General features: G+C 40.5%; 1 pseudogene, besides 3 other annotated features; it reads right to left on the bottom strand.

Annotated features, from left to right (window-relative positions):
• Window positions 4,773–4,842: an enhancer, noted in NCBI's record as "active region_8470". NCBI's record gives its function as "activates an Ori minimal core promoter by ATAC-STARR-seq in GM12878 lymphoblastoid cells {active_cell/tissue: GM12878}" and the evidence as "EXISTENCE:reporter gene assay evidence [ECO:0000049][PMID:35858748]".
• Window positions 9,573–10,054, bottom strand: RPL17P2 (ribosomal protein L17 pseudogene 2; annotated as a pseudogene).
• Window positions 10,154–10,233: an enhancer, noted in NCBI's record as "active region_8471". NCBI's record gives its function as "activates an Ori minimal core promoter by ATAC-STARR-seq in GM12878 lymphoblastoid cells {active_cell/tissue: GM12878}" and the evidence as "EXISTENCE:reporter gene assay evidence [ECO:0000049][PMID:35858748]".
• Window positions 17,269–17,508: an enhancer, noted in NCBI's record as "active region_8472". NCBI's record gives its function as "activates an Ori minimal core promoter by ATAC-STARR-seq in GM12878 lymphoblastoid cells {active_cell/tissue: GM12878}" and the evidence as "EXISTENCE:reporter gene assay evidence [ECO:0000049][PMID:35858748]".

Raw genomic sequence — 18,095 nt, forward strand, 5'->3', positions numbered from 1 at the left:
TTTGGCCTCCCCAAAGTCCAAAGTGCAGGGATTACAGGCATGAGCCACCACTCCCTGCCAAACACATTGTTTTTAGTGACTGTATATTATTCCTTCATATGGAAAATCCAATCTATTTATCCAATCCTTTGTTTTGTTCTGTTTTTTCCTACTATGAGAAATGTTCAGTATCTTTAAAGATAAGCCTTTGGCTACATTCCCAATTATTTCCCTCTGACAAATTTTAAGAAGTGGAATTACTAGTCAAAGGCTATAAGCATTTTTAAGACTTTTGACACACCACTAAAATACTCTGAAGAAATGTTGTAGCAAAATACACTCCTATTAACAGTACTTGAAAATATCCATTCCCCAAACTCTCACAAATACTGGGGATTATAATTTACTAAAAGTTGTAAATTCATTAAAAGAGATATAGTATCTCATTTTAAGGGAACTGCATTCCTTCAAATATTAATCTAACTGAAATTTCTTATTTTATTTTGGTCATTTAGTATCTTTTGGGAATTTACCTTTCATGTCCTTTACCCATTTCTCTGTTTCAGTGGGCATCATATTTTCTAACTGATTTATAAATGAGCTTTATCAAGTAATGCTCTTGACCCCATATTCAACTTTTCCCCCGTTCTTTAATTTTTTAATATACAGAATTTTAATAATTGTACATATTAAAGTCTATTTAGCTGTTTCTTTATGGCTTCTCCTTTATTTTTAAGTGAAGTCTTTCCTTTCCTTGATAGCTGATTATAGTTATCTTTATACTCTATCCTTACTTTTCATCCTTTCATATTTTTATTTTGTTTTTACATTTAACCTTTATCCGCCTGTAACTTAGTTTGGTATAAATTATAAAAAACAGATTTGATGACTTTTCCAAATGTCTCACCATTTGTCTTACTACTATTTATTGGGTGGCTCAATTTTTCTTCCCAAATTTCAAATGTCAATCTTGCTAGTACTAAATTCATGTGTGTGTTTGGGGTTGCTTTTAGAGGTTTCTATTCTGTTCCATTGTTCTGTTTACTGTTACTACAGTCTCATTTTATTTCACTGATTGTACTGATAGGTGGTATAAAAGATAGTAATGCCTGGAAATGCAAGTCTTCATTTTATCATTGTTCTTTTTAAGTTTTCCTGACTATTCTCACTGGTATGTTTAACATATTTTTTGCTGACTTGAGCATCCAACAAAATATATATGTAGCTGTGACCTATACTTTCATTTCATCAACTGCTAATTGCACAAGGGACATCTATCGGGTGTTTACTTTGTGCCAGGCTCTGTTCTAAATGTTTTATATGCATCAACTCATTCAATGCTAGCAGCAACCCTGTAAGATCGATACCTTTATTGCTCATGTTTTATGAAAGAGGAAACGCAAGCATGGAGAGGCAAGGTTAATTTGCCCAAGGTCACACAGCTGGCGTGTGGCTAAACTAGCCGTTGCATGTAAATAAGACTGCCTGCCCACTCAACCCAGGCAATCTGATTTCAGAGCTCACTGCCTCTCAAACAGTATGGCAGGGGTTAATACTATCTTGATTCTTTGCTTTAAACTGGAGATACTGTAATTTAATAATCGTTTGATATGCCAAAATGACTACAAACACTGTTCAAATCAGCGTTTTACACACATTCTATAGCAATGTAATACTTTTCCTCTTTAAAGTATTGAAGGATGAAATTTTCTTCAAATTATACAATACTACTTAAAGTGTTAAATTCCAATAAAGGAGAAAAAAAAGGCAGCAAACTATTGCCAGAAGAGCCCTGGATTGAGCAACAGGGAAACAAAAGTTCTAGTCCTTGTTGTGTTGCTAATTAGCTTCCTGCCTCCACCCCCACACGGACACATACACCCACCCAAAATATTGTCCTTATTAGTCTGTAACCCTGGCTAAATTACAATATTACAGATTCATTCCTTCAGGTTAACTCTCTTTCTGAGATGTGACTAGCCCTGGTGACGTACTACTTGTCAGAGTATTGATTATTTGCCCTGTTTTGAGATTTTAATTCCTCTTAATCAGGAACATTGCCCTGACAAGATAGGAGTTGTCATGGTTCAACAGGGAGCCAGGAATAGAAAGCAATGTTATTCTGGAGGCTGAAAGGCTGTGAGAGGTATGTGTGGTGAGGGACCACAGCTGACAGAAACAGGCTATGGGGAGTAGCTTGGGTATCTCAGGTGACAGAGAGTGGTGAGAGGGGAAGCTGAGAGGAGGAAGATGGTCCTGTGGAGGGAATGTGGGTAGAGCCTCCTCTACTTGAAGTTTTCCCAGCGCTGGTGCTGGGCGCAGCCAAGGATTCTAAAAGAAGGCCTTCCTCTGGGGATCAGGAAGGGAGAGGGAATATGAAAAGAGTCTGCCCTCTTGACATTGACCCAGAGTCTCCACGAGTCATTGGAAAAGATGCATGAGAAGCTGCATCTAAGGGCATGCAAACATATACACACAACACCATAAAAGGAGAAAGCTTTTTAGGCTTTCTTCAACTCATCAGGCTTGTGAATTTCTTTAATAAAAATCTCGGAACATCATGGCTCTACCAAACCTTTGCCTATTCGTCATTGCCACAGTGATACTGACTTTTGAATTCCAGTACCAGGGGAAAAAGATGTGTGTGTGGTGGGGGGAGGAGGGAAATAGTATCACCTTTTATGTAAATTCTTACTTGCTCATACAAATACTTTCTTTTTTTTTGTTTTATGGGGGTGTGGGTGGAAAAGTTTCAGTGTTTTTGCTGATTATAGAAGCAGTGAATGCTTACTCTAAAAAAAAAAATCAATGACACAAAGAAGAGAAATTCTGTCACCCTACCACATTGTAGTGTGTCTCTTCCAGATTTTTTTTCAAATTGGATCACACTGTTCTGCAATTGGCATTTTAACTTAACATATACAATAACTGTAGCATTCCATCTCATCTATTACTGTCCATAGTATTCCATTATATGTATGTACCATAATTTATTCAACAAACCAAGCTGATAAACATTTAGGTCATGATAATTTTTTATTATATATCATCCTTGTATTAATTGTTCCCAATGTATCATAATTTCCTAAGGGAAGAGGAACTAAATGACACATGTATAAAATTTTACTATACATTTTCCTATTTCTACAGTTTGTTTATATCTTTTTTCATGTCTTTTGCTGGTATCCAGCTCTTTTGTAGAAACCTCTTAAATTTGTCCTTTGTTCTTTGTTCCACTTCACAATTGGTAGAACACGGGTCAATAGGGAGCTCAAAGGTTCTCAAATTTGGGGCATCGTGTAATCTTTAGATCTTAAAGAAATCTTTCTAGGAGTAGCAGACATCAAGCTACTGGCAAATGAAAATTCTATGTGAAAAGACTACCTCAACAAAGGAGTGAAGTTCTATGTCCTCGGTGTTCTGTCATATAATTACATTTTCATTATGATTGTTCTGGTAAAAATGAGTCAGGGAGAAAAGTGTACCGTTTTAGGCTTGATTACCTAGGATCACATGAGAGTACCTGGGAAGGAGTTGCTGAGACCAATGACTACCCTTTGAACCAAACAATATATATGAAGATCAAAGTTTGGGTGTAATCTCTTCCGGGGCCACTTGGCTGCATTTTTCTTCCTCAGCACATATTGTTCCCTGCCAGAATTAATACATGAGAGCTGAGATTATAAGAAGCCCAACCAAGACCACGTGCATGACATCAGGGCAGATCTATTGGCACCAGTCAAAGAGCAGAGCACAACGTCCGAGCAGATTAGAACACATTACACTTAGTTCGTAGACTGCAGGCTGCACTGAGAATCGGGCCATAGTGACTATTGGAAGATCAATAGGAGAAGAAATAAAAAGAAAGAAAGAAATAGAAAATGTGCCGAGTCAGGGCAGGAGGGTCTTTCAAATCTCCCAAACTGGGGTCATGGTCATCCATGACAAGGTTGGGGTGTCGCTGCTGAAGAAAGCACAAATTCAACTGATGGGAACTCAATAAAATACGTGCCCAGCATCGACTGAGTCTTTTCTCTTCCTCAGCTGACCTTGTGCTTATATTCTGTGGACTTTCCACAGAATTCCTGTCAGGGACTTTCTTAAACCTCCTCCAACCCCCATTGACGCTCCAAATCTGCGCATCTTTGTGTTCTTGTTCTCTCTCTCTCTCTCCCCTTCCCCTGTTTCTCTTTTCTCTTGCTTCTTCCCTTTCCTTCCTTCATTCCCCTCATCCCAGTTGCTGGAAATCCATTGGCAAATGAGACCTATATTACTTCTTTCTTTGAATGTCTTCTCTGTTGCCTACAAACTCTCTGAAGTATTTCTTCCTTCAACTATTTTCTAATTAAAACTGTCTTAGTATCTACTCACCTTATCACTCTTGTTTCTCAGTGAGGTTTCAAAGATTAGAAAGTGGCTAGAGTGTATGTGTATGAGTGTGTGTGTGAGAGAGAGAGAGAATGAATTCGTGTGTGCATAGGAACCATTGGCTTTACGCAATATAGATGGGAACTTCCCTATGACTTGAAATGGGACCTTAGGCTCTAGGGCAGGGTTTCTCAACCCTAGCTGCTCATTAGAATCACTAGAGCAGTTTTTAAAAATCCCCATGCTCAGACAGAATCCCACACCAATTAAATCAGAATCTCTGGGTGTGGGACCTGGAATCATTCCTTTTTAACAGCTCCATAGCAATTCCAAGGTGCAGGCAAGTTGAAACCCTCTTCTCTAGGAGAAGTTAATGTATTAGTTAACCTGCTAGAATTAATGACCTCTCACTCATTGTTATCATTATCAGGTGGGAGCCTTGATGGTTTATGCCAAAGCCCCCACCAATAGAAATGTGGCAAAATTCTGACACTGCTGGATCTGAACCAGTGGCTTTCTCAGCCCCAGGTAAAGCATCTTGCCAGCGTAAACCTAATTCTGTTAGATAACTGGATTTTACCGCCGGTGCTGTGAACAGCTCATTCCCTGCTAAAGTGGAAAAGGTCTCGTGTCACAGAAGTTACATGGAACCCTTGGGCTATCAGGGCTCTCCACTGTCCAGATTCTTGTGTCACACTTGTGTGTGTGCACACATGTGTGTGTGTGCTTGCGTGTATGTGTGTGTGTGTGTTTTCATGTCCTTTCTTTTCAAAGTGGTTATTACCAAATTTGACCCAAAAAAGAAAGAGGTGATGGAGTGTGGCCATATAGTCTTGTCTGTTTCTATTTGCCTTAATAATTTTTTGACGGCATCATGTCACTTAATAGGCACTTATTTTCTAAGCTATATAGATATTATCTTGCTCAATTTCAACACTTCTATGAGATAAGTATCATTTCCATTCTACAGTTGAGAAAACTAAGGAGCCTGGAGATTAAACTTGCCTGAAGGCAAACAGCTAAAAAGTGATAGAACCAGAATTTGAATTCAAGTTGATCTGACTTCAAAGTCCAAGCTTTTAGACACATTATACTGACTGTTAGAGTATTTTTTGTGACCATCCATATGCCCTTTATCCAATAGCAAGTATTAGTAAAATGTGCTTTTTACCTTAAGGAATTCCAGATTTATTTTTACTGATCAGACCCGTAATTATGGGTCATGGATCTCCACAAATGCACAGTGGTCAAGGTTGCTAAGGTAATGCTATGCCCAAGTTGAGTGCCTAATAAATGTTTGCTGAAGGATGGATGGATGGATGGATGGATGGATGGATGGATGGATGAATGGATAAGTCAATGCCAGAGTGGACAAATAAATGAATGAGGTATCTAATGATAATCTACATTATCTTCCCCATTAGATTAGGCTCCTTAAAGGGAGGGGATAGGTCTTGTTAACTACTGCATCTGTGCCTAACATAGTGCCTGACACTTACCAGGTGTTCATGTAAGTATAGAAAGCAGTGGAAAAATAAATAGCAGTACAGGCCACTGGACCAAAAATTACTCTGTTGATAGAATTTGAAGCAAATAAATTGTATCTCAATATCTTTCCATAGAGTAAGAAGGCCTAAATTCGGGAAAATAAGGATACCAAAGAGGTAGCTGAAAACTGAAAAATGTGGGAAATTCTTCATGTAGTCTCTAAAAGCAAGAATCTATACATTTCCCTATATTTGGAAAATACAAATTTTAAAATATATTTTCCAGTTTGATTGTATTTCTCAGTGTTGTGTATGCAAAGTTTCAGGGTTATACCCACCCACACATGAGAGCTATAATCACAGTGTACTTCATGTGTAGAAAGGAAAGTGGTATTCTCTCAGCACGAAGAGCTTTGAAATCTAATAAGCACCATACCCCTCAGGGTTGAGAAGTAGAACTGTTCTGTTTGTTGTTCTCCAGAGCCACTTTCAGACATTCCTCCTCATTCCATTTTCTCATAAAAACCTCTTCTCCTTTTAGGCTTGCACTGTATGGACTACACCACGCCCCACCCACCATGGAATAACAAATTGCCGATCTCCCTTTTGCTTCCTACTCAAATTCACTGAAGAGCCTGACTGACAGCCATCTTCTCTACATGGCTCCTGCTATTACCCTTGAATTTCATCCATTAGCCTTGCATCTCAGTTACCTACCCTCCTAATTCCTGATGATCTCCATTCCTGCACAGCTACCCATGGCCATGGTCACCCCCTTGTGCTTTTCACCCCCAAAAATTCATCACATTACAACCCAAAGGCATTTTTTTGTTAAATTTATGGACCACAAGTGCAATATTGTTACATGCATAGATTGCATAGTGGTGAAGTCAGGGCCTTTAGGTATCCATCACCCAATTCACATAAATTGTACCCATTAGGGAATTTCTCATTATTCATCTTCCTCCCACTGCGTTTCTCTTCTGAGTCTCCACTGTCTATCATTCCACACTCTAAGTCCATGTGTAAACATTATTTAGCTCCCACATATGAGTGAGAGCAGGTGATATTTATTATTCTGTGTCTTACTTGTTTCACTGAAGATAATGGTGGCAAGAATGTACACTGGGAAAAGAACATCCTTTTCACTAAATGGTGCTGGTAAAATTGGATTCCAGTATGTAGAAGAATGAAATTGGACCCCCATCTCTCACCAAATAAAAAAAAATCAGCTCAAGATAGGTTAAAAACTTAAATGTAAGACCTGAAACTTTAATAATATTAGAAGAATAACTACAGGAAACTCTTCTGGACATTAGTCTAGTCAAAGAATTCATGACTAAGACCTCAAAAGCACAGGCAACAAAAACAAAAATAGGCAGATGGGACTTACACTAAAAAGTTTAAGTTTCTTCTGCACAGCAAAAGAAATAATCAACAAAGTGAACAGACAACTTGCAGAATGGGAGAAAATATTTGAAAACTATGCATCTGACAGGGGACTAACATCCAGAATTTACAAGGAACTCAAACAACTCAACAACAAAAAATACAAATAATTCCATTAAAAGGCAGGCAAAGGGCATGAACAGACATTTTTAAAACAAATCATAAATTCGAACATCCCATTTGTCATTGTAATAGTCTGTCTTCATGCTGCTGATAAAGACATACCCGAGACTGGGTAATTTATGAAGAAAAAGAAGTTTAATGGACTCACAGTTCCACAAGGCTGGGGAGGCCTCACAATCACAGTGGAAGGCAAAGAGGAGCAGTCACGTCTCACATGGCAGCAGGCAAGAGAGAATAATGAGAGCCAAGCGAAAGGGTAAATCCCTTATAAAATCATGAGATCTTGTAAGAGTTATTCACTACCAGGAGAACAGTGTGGGGGAAACCACCCCCATGATTCAATGATCTCCCACAGGGTCCCTCCCACAACATGTGGGAATTATGGGAGCTACAATTCAAGATGAAATTTGGGTGTGGACACAGCCAAACCATATCAGTCATCCATTATCTCTTCCTTCCAGCTTTCCTGCTTAGCTTCATTAGATTTTTTTTTCTTTTTTTGAGAGAGGGTCTCACTTTGTTGCCCAGGGTAGAGTGCAGTAATGTCATCATGGCTCACTGCAATCTGCAATCTCGAACTCCTGGGCTCCAGCTATCCTCCCCACTCAGCCTCACAAGCAACAGGTGCATGCCATCATGCCTAGCTAATTTTTTTTTTTTTTTTTTTTGGGGGGTAGAGATGGAGGTATTGCTATAATTCTCAAGCTGGTTTTAAACTCCTGAGCTCAAATGATCTTCCTGCCTCAGCCTCCCAAAGTGATAGGATTACAGGCATGAGCCACTGTGCCTGGGTCAGGCTTTTTGATCTATGATCCTTTCCACATTTTTGCCATCATGCCCTTTTGCCTTCCCTTCTCCCACACCAGCTTAGATTCCTGAGCCCATCATTACAATCATCCTATCGCAAATATGCTAGGCTTAATTGGCTTTTTCTCCTTTCATAGCATCTGCCTACAGAACCCCCAGTCCTCCCCTGTGTCAATGCCTAAGCAGCTGAGCGTGGCCGTAAAAATCACAAAACCAATCCAGATTTGTATCACAATAAAATCTTAATTATAGATATCAGCAGGTGGTCTACATAGCCCAGCAATCTTACCTTTGTTCTCTAGAAAGCTTGAGCTCCCATTCTCTGCCACTGCTGTTTCTCTGACTCACTCTCAGAAGACTACCTATTGCAGATATTGTAGAATTGTCTTTGTTTACAGAATCCTAATTTTATTTGAGTGATGCAGAATGAAGTTTGGGCTAAACCAGCAGTTTTTAACCTGTGTTATGTGAACTCCCAGTGGAACACAAAGACTTTCCAAGGGAATATGGGCAGAGATACTCAACTACCTTTTGCAAAATTTAAAACAATTTTGTACATTTTTATAAACCTATCCACCTGAAAATGCACCTGCCAGTTTTTGGTTCTTATCTTCCTTTTCACAATTACCCTTTTCCACCTTACAGAAGAAATTCATACATTTCTCCCTTCTTAAATCTTACTGTGGTGCATTGTACATTAAAGCTCTGATGTACTTAATCAAGGGAGTGTGTGTGTGTGTGTATGTGTGCGTGTGTGTGTGTGTGTGTGTGTGTGTGTATGACAGGGTCTCACTCTGTCACCCAGGCTGGAGTGCAATGACGTGATCTTGGCTCACTGCAGCCTCGACCTTCTGGGCTCAAGCAATGTTTCCACCTCAGCCTCCTGAGTAGCTGGGATCACAGGCATGTGTCGCCAGGCCTGGCTTATTGTTTGTATTTTTTGTATACATAGGGTTTCCCATGTTGCTCAGGCTGGTCTCGAACTCCCGAGTGCAGGTGATCTGCCCGCCTGAGCCTCCCAAAGTGTTGGGATGACAGACATGAGCCACTGCATTTGGCCTAAATCAAGGGATTTTTCTAACTATTGATAGCAGAGAAGAATTTTGAAAGTTAGGCAACTCCTCACATATTTTTAAATCAACATCTAACCACTTTTATCAGAAGTTTGAATGGTTAATAAAAAGGTAATTACTGATAAAATTGAAATTACTATTAAATAATAAAACTCTTGTACCACTCTTTCAAATGTAGCTAGTAGAACACAAATACTGTAGTGATTTAATACCTACTGTTATTCATTTAAAAAATAAACAGGTTCTTCTTTAATAATTGGACACTTCACTCATTATTTTTCTTCTTGAACAATTTGTTTCAGTAAGGATCATCTCGATGTGGCAGGGAGAGCTCATGTATGAGTTAATCTGACTACGTGTTCTGTAAGTCCAGTAATGCATTTTATGTGCTTTGTTCACCTAGATATGCTCAATGACCAGAGAATCTACATCTAAACCCTTAAGCTCAGCATTACCCTCTGCACTTTTAAGCATGTGCAGCAAAAATTCAGCAAGCTTTTTGGGCCACCAACCCCATCAGCCCCACTGCTTGGCCTGGGCACACCCAACAACTCCCCCCCTGAAATGTCGGAATGGTACACCCTGCTTCTGTAAAGTGACGTCTTTCAGATACTTGGGGCTTTTTGTATATGCATACCCCTGATGGCCTGGGCAGTTTCATGAGTGTTCTGAAAGTGAACACAAAGATTTGAACCTCTTGATTTGCATAATTTTGTGGGATTTTCTGGGTCAAGTGAATAGTGAACTATTTTCACAGATCACCTCAGGTCACTTAGGGGAAGAGCAGTCTCATCATCTTTAACTTCTTAGCAGTACTTGACACTGTCAACTACTAACCAATTATCAAATCACTCTCTTCCTTTGGCCCCTATGAGACCATGCACTCTAAGTTTCCTACCACCCCTGTGGCCTCAGACTCCTGTCCTGATCCCTTCTTCTCAAGCCACTTCTGAATGTTGGGGCTCCTCAGGGCTCTGTCCTGAGCTCAATCTGTTCCTCGTGCTCTGTTTTGTCATTCCAGGATGATCACATTTACATAGGCTGCTGATTCAAATATATATCTCTAATCTAGTCTCCTTGCAGAGCTCCAGGTTTGCGTAGCTAATTGATAACTTGAATTCTCTATTTGGAGGTCTCAGAGACATCTCAGATTTAAGATTTACAAAACCAAATTCTTAATCCTTGCCTGCTCAAATGTGCTTTCCTTTGGTCTTCTACATCAATAAATAAGATCTTCACCTACTTAGATGCTCTAGCATGAATACTGGGTGTGTCATCCTTGATATAGCCCTTACCTTCAACCTCACCTCCCTCCTTCAACCCTACCTTCAATCCTAACTAAGCCATCACTGAGTCTCATAGATGTATCTCTCTAAAATATTCCCTGTAATCCACTTATCTTTGTTTCCACTGTCACCACAATCCAAGCCATCAGACTTTTACAATAGCTTCTTAACTGGTTTTCCTCCATGCTTTTTCTTTCTTTCTTTCTTTTTTTTTTGACAGGGTCTTGCTCTGTCAACCAGGTTGGAATATAGTGGCATGATCATAAATCACCGTAACCTCAAACTTCTGGACTCAAACAATCCTCCTGCCTCAGCGTCTGGAGTAGAGGGGACTACAGGTGCATGCCACCACACCCAGGTAATATTTTAATTTTTTTGGAGAGACAGGGTCTCACTATGTTGACCAGGCTGGTCTTGAACACCCAGGCTCAAGTGATCCTCCCACCTCAGCCTCCCAAAGTGCTGGGATTACAGGCAGAAGCCACTGTGCCTGGCCCCTTGATCCTTTTTCTAATCCATTCTTCACATAGGAACCAGGGCAATGGTTAAAAAGATAAATTTGATTGTGTTATTTCCCAGCTTAAAACCCCTCGATGACTACCCACTGCACTTAGATAAATAAAAATCCTCCATCCTCAATATTGCCTACAAAACATTGCACAATTTATCCCTACTATCCCAATCTTATGACATGTCTCTCTCCTTGGCTATGGCCCTACCACGTTAGCCTTCTTCAGTTCCTGGAGGGTGCCAAGGTTTTGCTTACTCAAAGCCTGCTCAGTGTCCAATACTCTTTACCAGGCTTTACCCTCTAGTCTAAATGTAAGTGTCATTTCCTCAAAAGTCCTTTTCTAACCTCCCAATCCAAGTCATGCTCCATTTTGATACACAATGTTTATCATTAGCCATACACATTTCCCTACTTATTTGCTATTTCGAACAGTGCTGCTATAAACATTTTATGTATGTGTGAGTTTCTGGGGCAGTGCTTTTCAAACTGTGGGTCCCAATTTGCTGGTGAACTAGTAATATCAATTTTTAAGAAAACAAGAAGGAAAAAAGAAATTGAAGAAGATAGAATAAAAATACTAGAGCTATTGCATGTAACAAGCATTAGCTTTGTTTTATGACATTTTTATTTCAGGGTGTGTGTGTATTGGATCACAAGGTAAAATGGATTTATTACTGCAGGTCAAAGTAGAAGAAGGTTGGAAAGCCACTAATTCAGGGTATATTTTAGGAATGGATATCTTGGGTCATGGCCTTTGATTATAATTTCAAACACAAATATAGAAAATTAGAAGATTCAGAGAATACATTATATATTTATACATACATATATTGCACTTTGCTCTTGGTTTACTCATGCTAGTTTCCATAAACTTTTGCTCACAGTAAACGTACTTTTTTAAGGGGAAAATTCTTAGAGTAAATTATCTTACATATATTTTCTAAGGGGTGAGTTATTTATGTAGAAATCAGTGTTGTTTAAGCACACAGAGCAGTGACAGAAACCAGGAGGTCTTAAGTTTTTGGATGCATTCTCTTTTCATAACTTTCTACATCACCAATTTACATTACAGCTAGAAATAAATCCTCCATGTTTATTTAAACACTAAAAGTGCAGAACACATTTATTTTATTGTATAAAACTCTACTGGAAAAATCCTGGCTGCTTAGGATAGTAATCCCCAATCCATGGACAAAATACCATCTCCATGTGCTGTTTTCTATTCTTGTGCCATTCGGTGCTGCCCTTTAACCTACCTTTACTGCACAGCAAAGATCTGTAACAGAGCCAATCCTACCCAGCCAGAGCAGACAGCTGCCTCTGTGTAGATCTTGAAAGGAACTGCAGGGCAATCTACGCAGAAGCATCTCCCTACTGCCTGACTTTTCACCATTAGAGTGACTTGTTTGATATCAACCAGATGACCCTTGTTAAAATACAAATATCTTAGGTAAAAGGAGGAAGTCACATTTTTAAACTATCATCCATTAGCTAGTGAATTGGTTTATTGGATTAGTTTTAAAACCAGGATCAGGATCTTGAATGAGTGAGATGAAAATAATTGACATGCTAGGCCAAAGAAAACCAAGAGGCAACAACGGCACCTTTAGTGAGAGGGCAATCTGAGTTTCCCTGCTGAAACTGAAGAAAGAAGAACTAGAGATAAACTCTCCCTGCTTTGCAGTTTGCCCTGCCTGTAAATACTAACTCTGTTATGATGGCGCCATCTTGGAAGCACCATGAATCACAGCAGTCAACATTTCAGCTCTGTTCTATCCAACCTCATTCACATTCTCCATCCATTGTGAGGCATCAGGCATTGCTCCATTCTTGCATTCAAATACAGCTACTCAGAGTCAATGTTTGGAACACAGAAACCATCCAGGTTTGGATACCCATCTGGTTTATGTGTCGCCCTTTTATTTCTATTTTAATTATATTTAGGACTGTCCTGATCCTTCTTTTAGCCAGTTTTGTTTTTTCAATCAACTCCAAATAGAGACTCCTCTTGAGCAAAACCAGTACTGCCCTGTAGCTTAAGCCAGAAATGAAAAGAGGAATGCTGGATTTAAAAAGCAATAAAAGAAAACAAATCCAGACAGGGAACAGGTCTGTTTCTTGGGACACATCAACCTTACACCACATTGTCAAAGTCACTTTTTATTGAAGAAGATAAACAGCAAATTTTTTTTTAGATGAAATCCCTCCATGGCTGATGTAAGAAAGAGGTCTTTTGGTAAAAATAGCAGTAATGACAACTTTAGATTGCCATTTAGATTTAGGTCCAGGTTTAGATTGCTGTGCCAAGATTCAGTTGTAGGGGTGAGTTATGAACAGGCCAGCTGCTCATGTATTCAAGTGGATTTTGCTCCCAGAAGCCCAGGGGCTCTGCATTTGGGGGCAGGCTGAAGACAGGCAGAGTTCCTCGCCTTCAGAGCCTGGAACTTCTACTTCCCCGTCACTTACTCTCTGGCTAAGCTTTGATTAAACTCATTCACAGTGAGGTGTAAATGACAAAGGAGGTTCCTTGTTTGGTGTTAAGCCTCCTCCCACTAGAAATTCATAATGCACATTAGCATATTAAGATGTTGAGAAGTTCTACTGAGAAGAAACCTGTCTAATTTTGTTTTGCCCGAAGTGTCCAATTTGACCATGTACCTCTTTTTGACTTCAGAATAACTACTAATATTTTGGGGAGCACTAGCATTGTGACAACTGTACTCCTTTCAGTTAAATGATTGCATTTCTCATCCATTCCTTCTTTCAACAAATAGCTACTGAGACCTAGTATGTACCAGGCACTGGTGAGTAAAACAGGCACCTTCATGGAGTTTACATTGTTTAATGTTTGTCTCATCCATGGTTTGTTGTTTAATTAATTAACAAACATCTTTAAAATAATCGCACAAGTGAGAACAAAGCTGAGCCAGGGGAGCCCTTAAAGGTTCTCTTCAAGGTAACTGAGGAGACCTGGAAGCTGGTGCTAACTGGATGAACAGAGTGGAGGCCTGAAGGGAACAGCGTTCTAGGAAGAGGGAACAGCAGTGACAAAGATCATGGTGGTATTCAAGGAAGCAGAGTGCGGGTACCATTCCTGTTTGAGGCTAAAGAGGTGCATAAAAGCCAGATCATGTCAGAAAATTGTCGGGGAAAGATTTCTTTTGGCCCAAGGGTCCTTTCTCAGTGCAGCTGAAATCGCAGCACCTCTGTGTGTTGGGCACTTGCCAGGTCCCAGGTAGGGGCTGTGTCAGGTCACCACACAGACAGGCATTAGTGCCTTTGTTTTTCAGAGGAGGAAACAAAGGTCAGAGAAGCACGTGGCCTGCCAAGACCATCAAGCTCCTTGGGGGCAGAGTCAGAATTTAAATCCAAGTCCGTCTGAGTCCAAAGCCATGTGCCAAACTAACAAGCTGCTGAAGACTGCTGTCTGACATTACTGACTCCCTCCCCAAAGCTGGCGCTTCTGTGAGATTCCAGACTCTGGTGGAGGGTGTAGCAGGGAAATGACAAATGCAAGTGTAATGTTTCGTGTCAGAAAGTATAGCAGTGGACCAAAAGGTAGCCATTCTGAGTACCAAGTGTGGACACAATTTTCCTTTTCATGCTTTGAACTAGCCTGTTGTCCTAAGCACAGCAGGGAAAGCCAAAGCAGCCTTTGGAAGTCCTGGTTTCCTGGGGCTCTGAGTCCTGAGATGTGGTAGTGGATTTTAGATATCCCAGGAGCACAAGCCTGTGGCCCCCATGGGCCTCTGTGCCAGCACCCCAGACCCCAGACTCCTGAGAAGTTCCGGGACCCCCAGGGAGATGGGTTGGTGATACCAGTGAGGCCTGAGAAATTCACAGCTGCCAAAGAGTACTTGAGCTGGAGGTTGGAAGCCGGGGAGTTGGTTTCAAGGCCTTTTAGAAGCTCTTAGAGTCTGGCATCCTGTTTCATGTGCAGAGTGAAAGCGTGTCCTCAAAAAGCCCTGGATCTGCCCTACTTCCTCTCTGGACTTTCTTGAATATAGAGTGGCAGACAGGGCTAGAACCCCATTCTCCTGACATTCTCTATACCATACACTTACATGTGTGTATGTACATGTCATACATACAGGCATGCACACACACACACAAAACACACACACACACACACACACACACACACACACACACAATTCTTTCCATCTCCACACAAAACTTACTATAACTTGTGTCTGCATTTCAGAAATCCTGGAGTCTCTTACATCTGATAACGGTTCGGGGTCGCTATGTCCCAGTGAACTGTCATCTGGGGGGATGAAATAGCTCCCAGGGTACACTCTCAGTCTAACCAAGTGGATATTCACTGGCCTACACTGAGAGACTCCGAGGGGGACAACTACTCTCGGTAGGTCCTCCCTGCCCTTCAGAACATCACTGTCTCCAAAACAATCCCTTTGTAGGGCACAGGCTTTTGAGCACACATATACCTGAATTTGATTCATGGCCTTGCTGTATGACCCTGGCAAGACTTTCAGCCTCAGTTTCCACATCTACAAGATGAAGATCTAATTCCCTCTTCATGGGGTTGTTGCAGCAACTAAATAAGCTCTTATAAGTAAAGCAGTTCACACAGTGCTGGGCACATGGTAAACTCTCAGTAAATAATAGCAGTTATTTCTATATAGATTGCCCAGCAGAACTCAAGGGCTCAAGGTACATAAGCAGGTGGGACTAGCGGGAAAACCTGCAGCAGTGTAATCTCTGGCTCTGGCCACCCCACCCCTTCCCACCCTGATCTTCAATCAAATCTAAGGGTCCTCGAATAAACTGACAAGTGGCCTAGGCTCTCTGCCATCTCCTTGGGCCAGGGCATATCTACAGGATTGAGGACACATAGGGTAGTAGATCAGGAATTACCTTCGCGGTAGTCCTTTCTTCATCTTTTCTTGGCTGTTTGATCTTAGGCAAATCATTTACACTCTGCATCTCACTTTTCTCATTTGTAAAATGAGAATAGTAATGACATTCTCCCTACAGGAAATTTGTGCAGATTAATGAGATAATGTAGAAAGGGTGCTTAGGGTATAGTTATGTTTTATGATGGAGAAAGAGGACTGATAGTTCAAAAGTGTAGCCTCTGCTAGAAAACTTCCAGTAACAATGAGTTCACAGAAAGGTGATTACATTGTTACTCAGTTATAATTGTTTAAGGTTTTCCCTTTACATTAAATGGGTATCTGTTCATTTCAACCTTGACACATGTGGATTTCATAGGACAAACTCCAGATCCCTAAATTAGAATTTCTGAGGGACAGGGCCTGAACTTGTAGAGTTAAAAGCCCCAGTTTTAACTGTGACAAGCCAAGACTGCCCACCACCGGACTATGGACCAAGAATGACCTGGAGTTGGGGCAGAACTCTCCAGGGCTGACACTAATGTGACCAAGTTCTGTGGATAGCAGGGACAGAAACATAACCTGATTCAAACTGTACGCTTAAATAGAAGTTTGGCTAAAGTGGGAAATGTCCCACTTAGGAAAGTTTATTAGGAAAATCTCCAAATAGCTTAGACCTTCTGGATTTGTCTGACTTCTCCAAATGACCACACTTTAATTTATTCCTCCAATTGTCACCCCCAGGTATCTCCTAAGTGACTTGAGATGAAACAGGGAGAATGGCCACAGAAAGGTTGGCTGAAGGATTAGAGAGATTGTACACCTTCAGACTCAGGGGCTGTCAAACAGTGACAAACAGTGAAGAGTGAGTGAGGAGACTTCCCTCGTGTACCTCCACACACACCTTAATTGGTATCTGCAAGTACTTGTACTAAAATGGGCACATTTTAAAGCAGAAAGAAACTTTAACCACTATTTAGTTTGTGGGTACATAAGACATTCAGCTTACAGGTCAAGAAAGTGTTTTGCCCTATAATGTGTTTTGTCCTATAATGTGTTTTGTACAATAAGTTATTTAAAGCATAAAATGTAAGCAATACAATTATAAGGAAAATATACTGACTTCTATTACTACATTCTTTTTCCATGCTCTTCATCTTGGAATGTATTTACACATTGCCATTTTATATAAAATTATGTTATTTCCCTAGGAGATTGAGAGCTCCTTGAGGGAAGGGATCAGTCCTGATGCAAACTTACACAGCATTCTGAGTATTTGGAAGGTACTCATCAAACACTTGATGAAATATTAAATATCGTGGAACTTGTACTTTATGTTGCTAAACCTAGATCCAAGATAGGGCTGGCCTGTTTAGAAGTTACCACCCCAGCACCTTTTGCCACACTATGACAAAACAACCCTGGGAAGCCCCCAAAAGTTTCTCTGGCTGCTTACCAAGTTTCTCTTTCTGCTTACCAAGGTAACTTTCCACTCCCATTACCTAAGTGACAGGTTATGTGGGTCTCTAGAGACAAGGCTCATGGGATTTAGTTTCTCTTTGCCTTTTCCTTGCAGTGCAACATGTACAACATTGGCTGAAAAAATACTTTTTATAGAGGGTGAGTTAAATTGCAGATAGGTGGTGTCTCTATTTACTCAATTGACCAGGTATAGATCTGGGGCAGTAAGCAGTCTCTTGATGGCTACTGTTGGCAGGATCCTTCTCAGAGCAATCCTTCGAACGCAAACCTGTCTTAATCATTTATTTTGTTTCTGCCATTTTGTTTTGAGATCCCTGATTTCTGGAGGAAGAAAGTTACTTCTGCCCAAGACCTGAGTTTCTCTCCTTATAGCCCCTGGAACCCAGCATGAACCAATCAATCCCTTAAGTGTCATTGTGGTACAAGGCCAAAAATCAAGGCACTCGATATTGTGTGCTACCTTGACATCTTGTAAAATCTGGAGGTACTTGAATGGCCTAACTGCAAGTTCCCCTCCTCACTCTGCTCTTGTAGATGAGGTCTCCTATCTAAACAGTCTTCGTTAAAGTGGCCAAGAACCATTCCTGCTTATCCCTGAGTAGTGGGGTTCAGTCCACAGTATTCAAAAAAGCAAATCACGTCCTCCTGTGGGAATCGGGAGGCACCATATCCTC

This window comes from Homo sapiens, chromosome 14 (assembly GCF_000001405.40).
Source record: "Homo sapiens chromosome 14, GRCh38.p14 Primary Assembly".
NCBI lineage: Eukaryota > Metazoa > Chordata > Mammalia > Primates > Hominidae > Homo > Homo sapiens.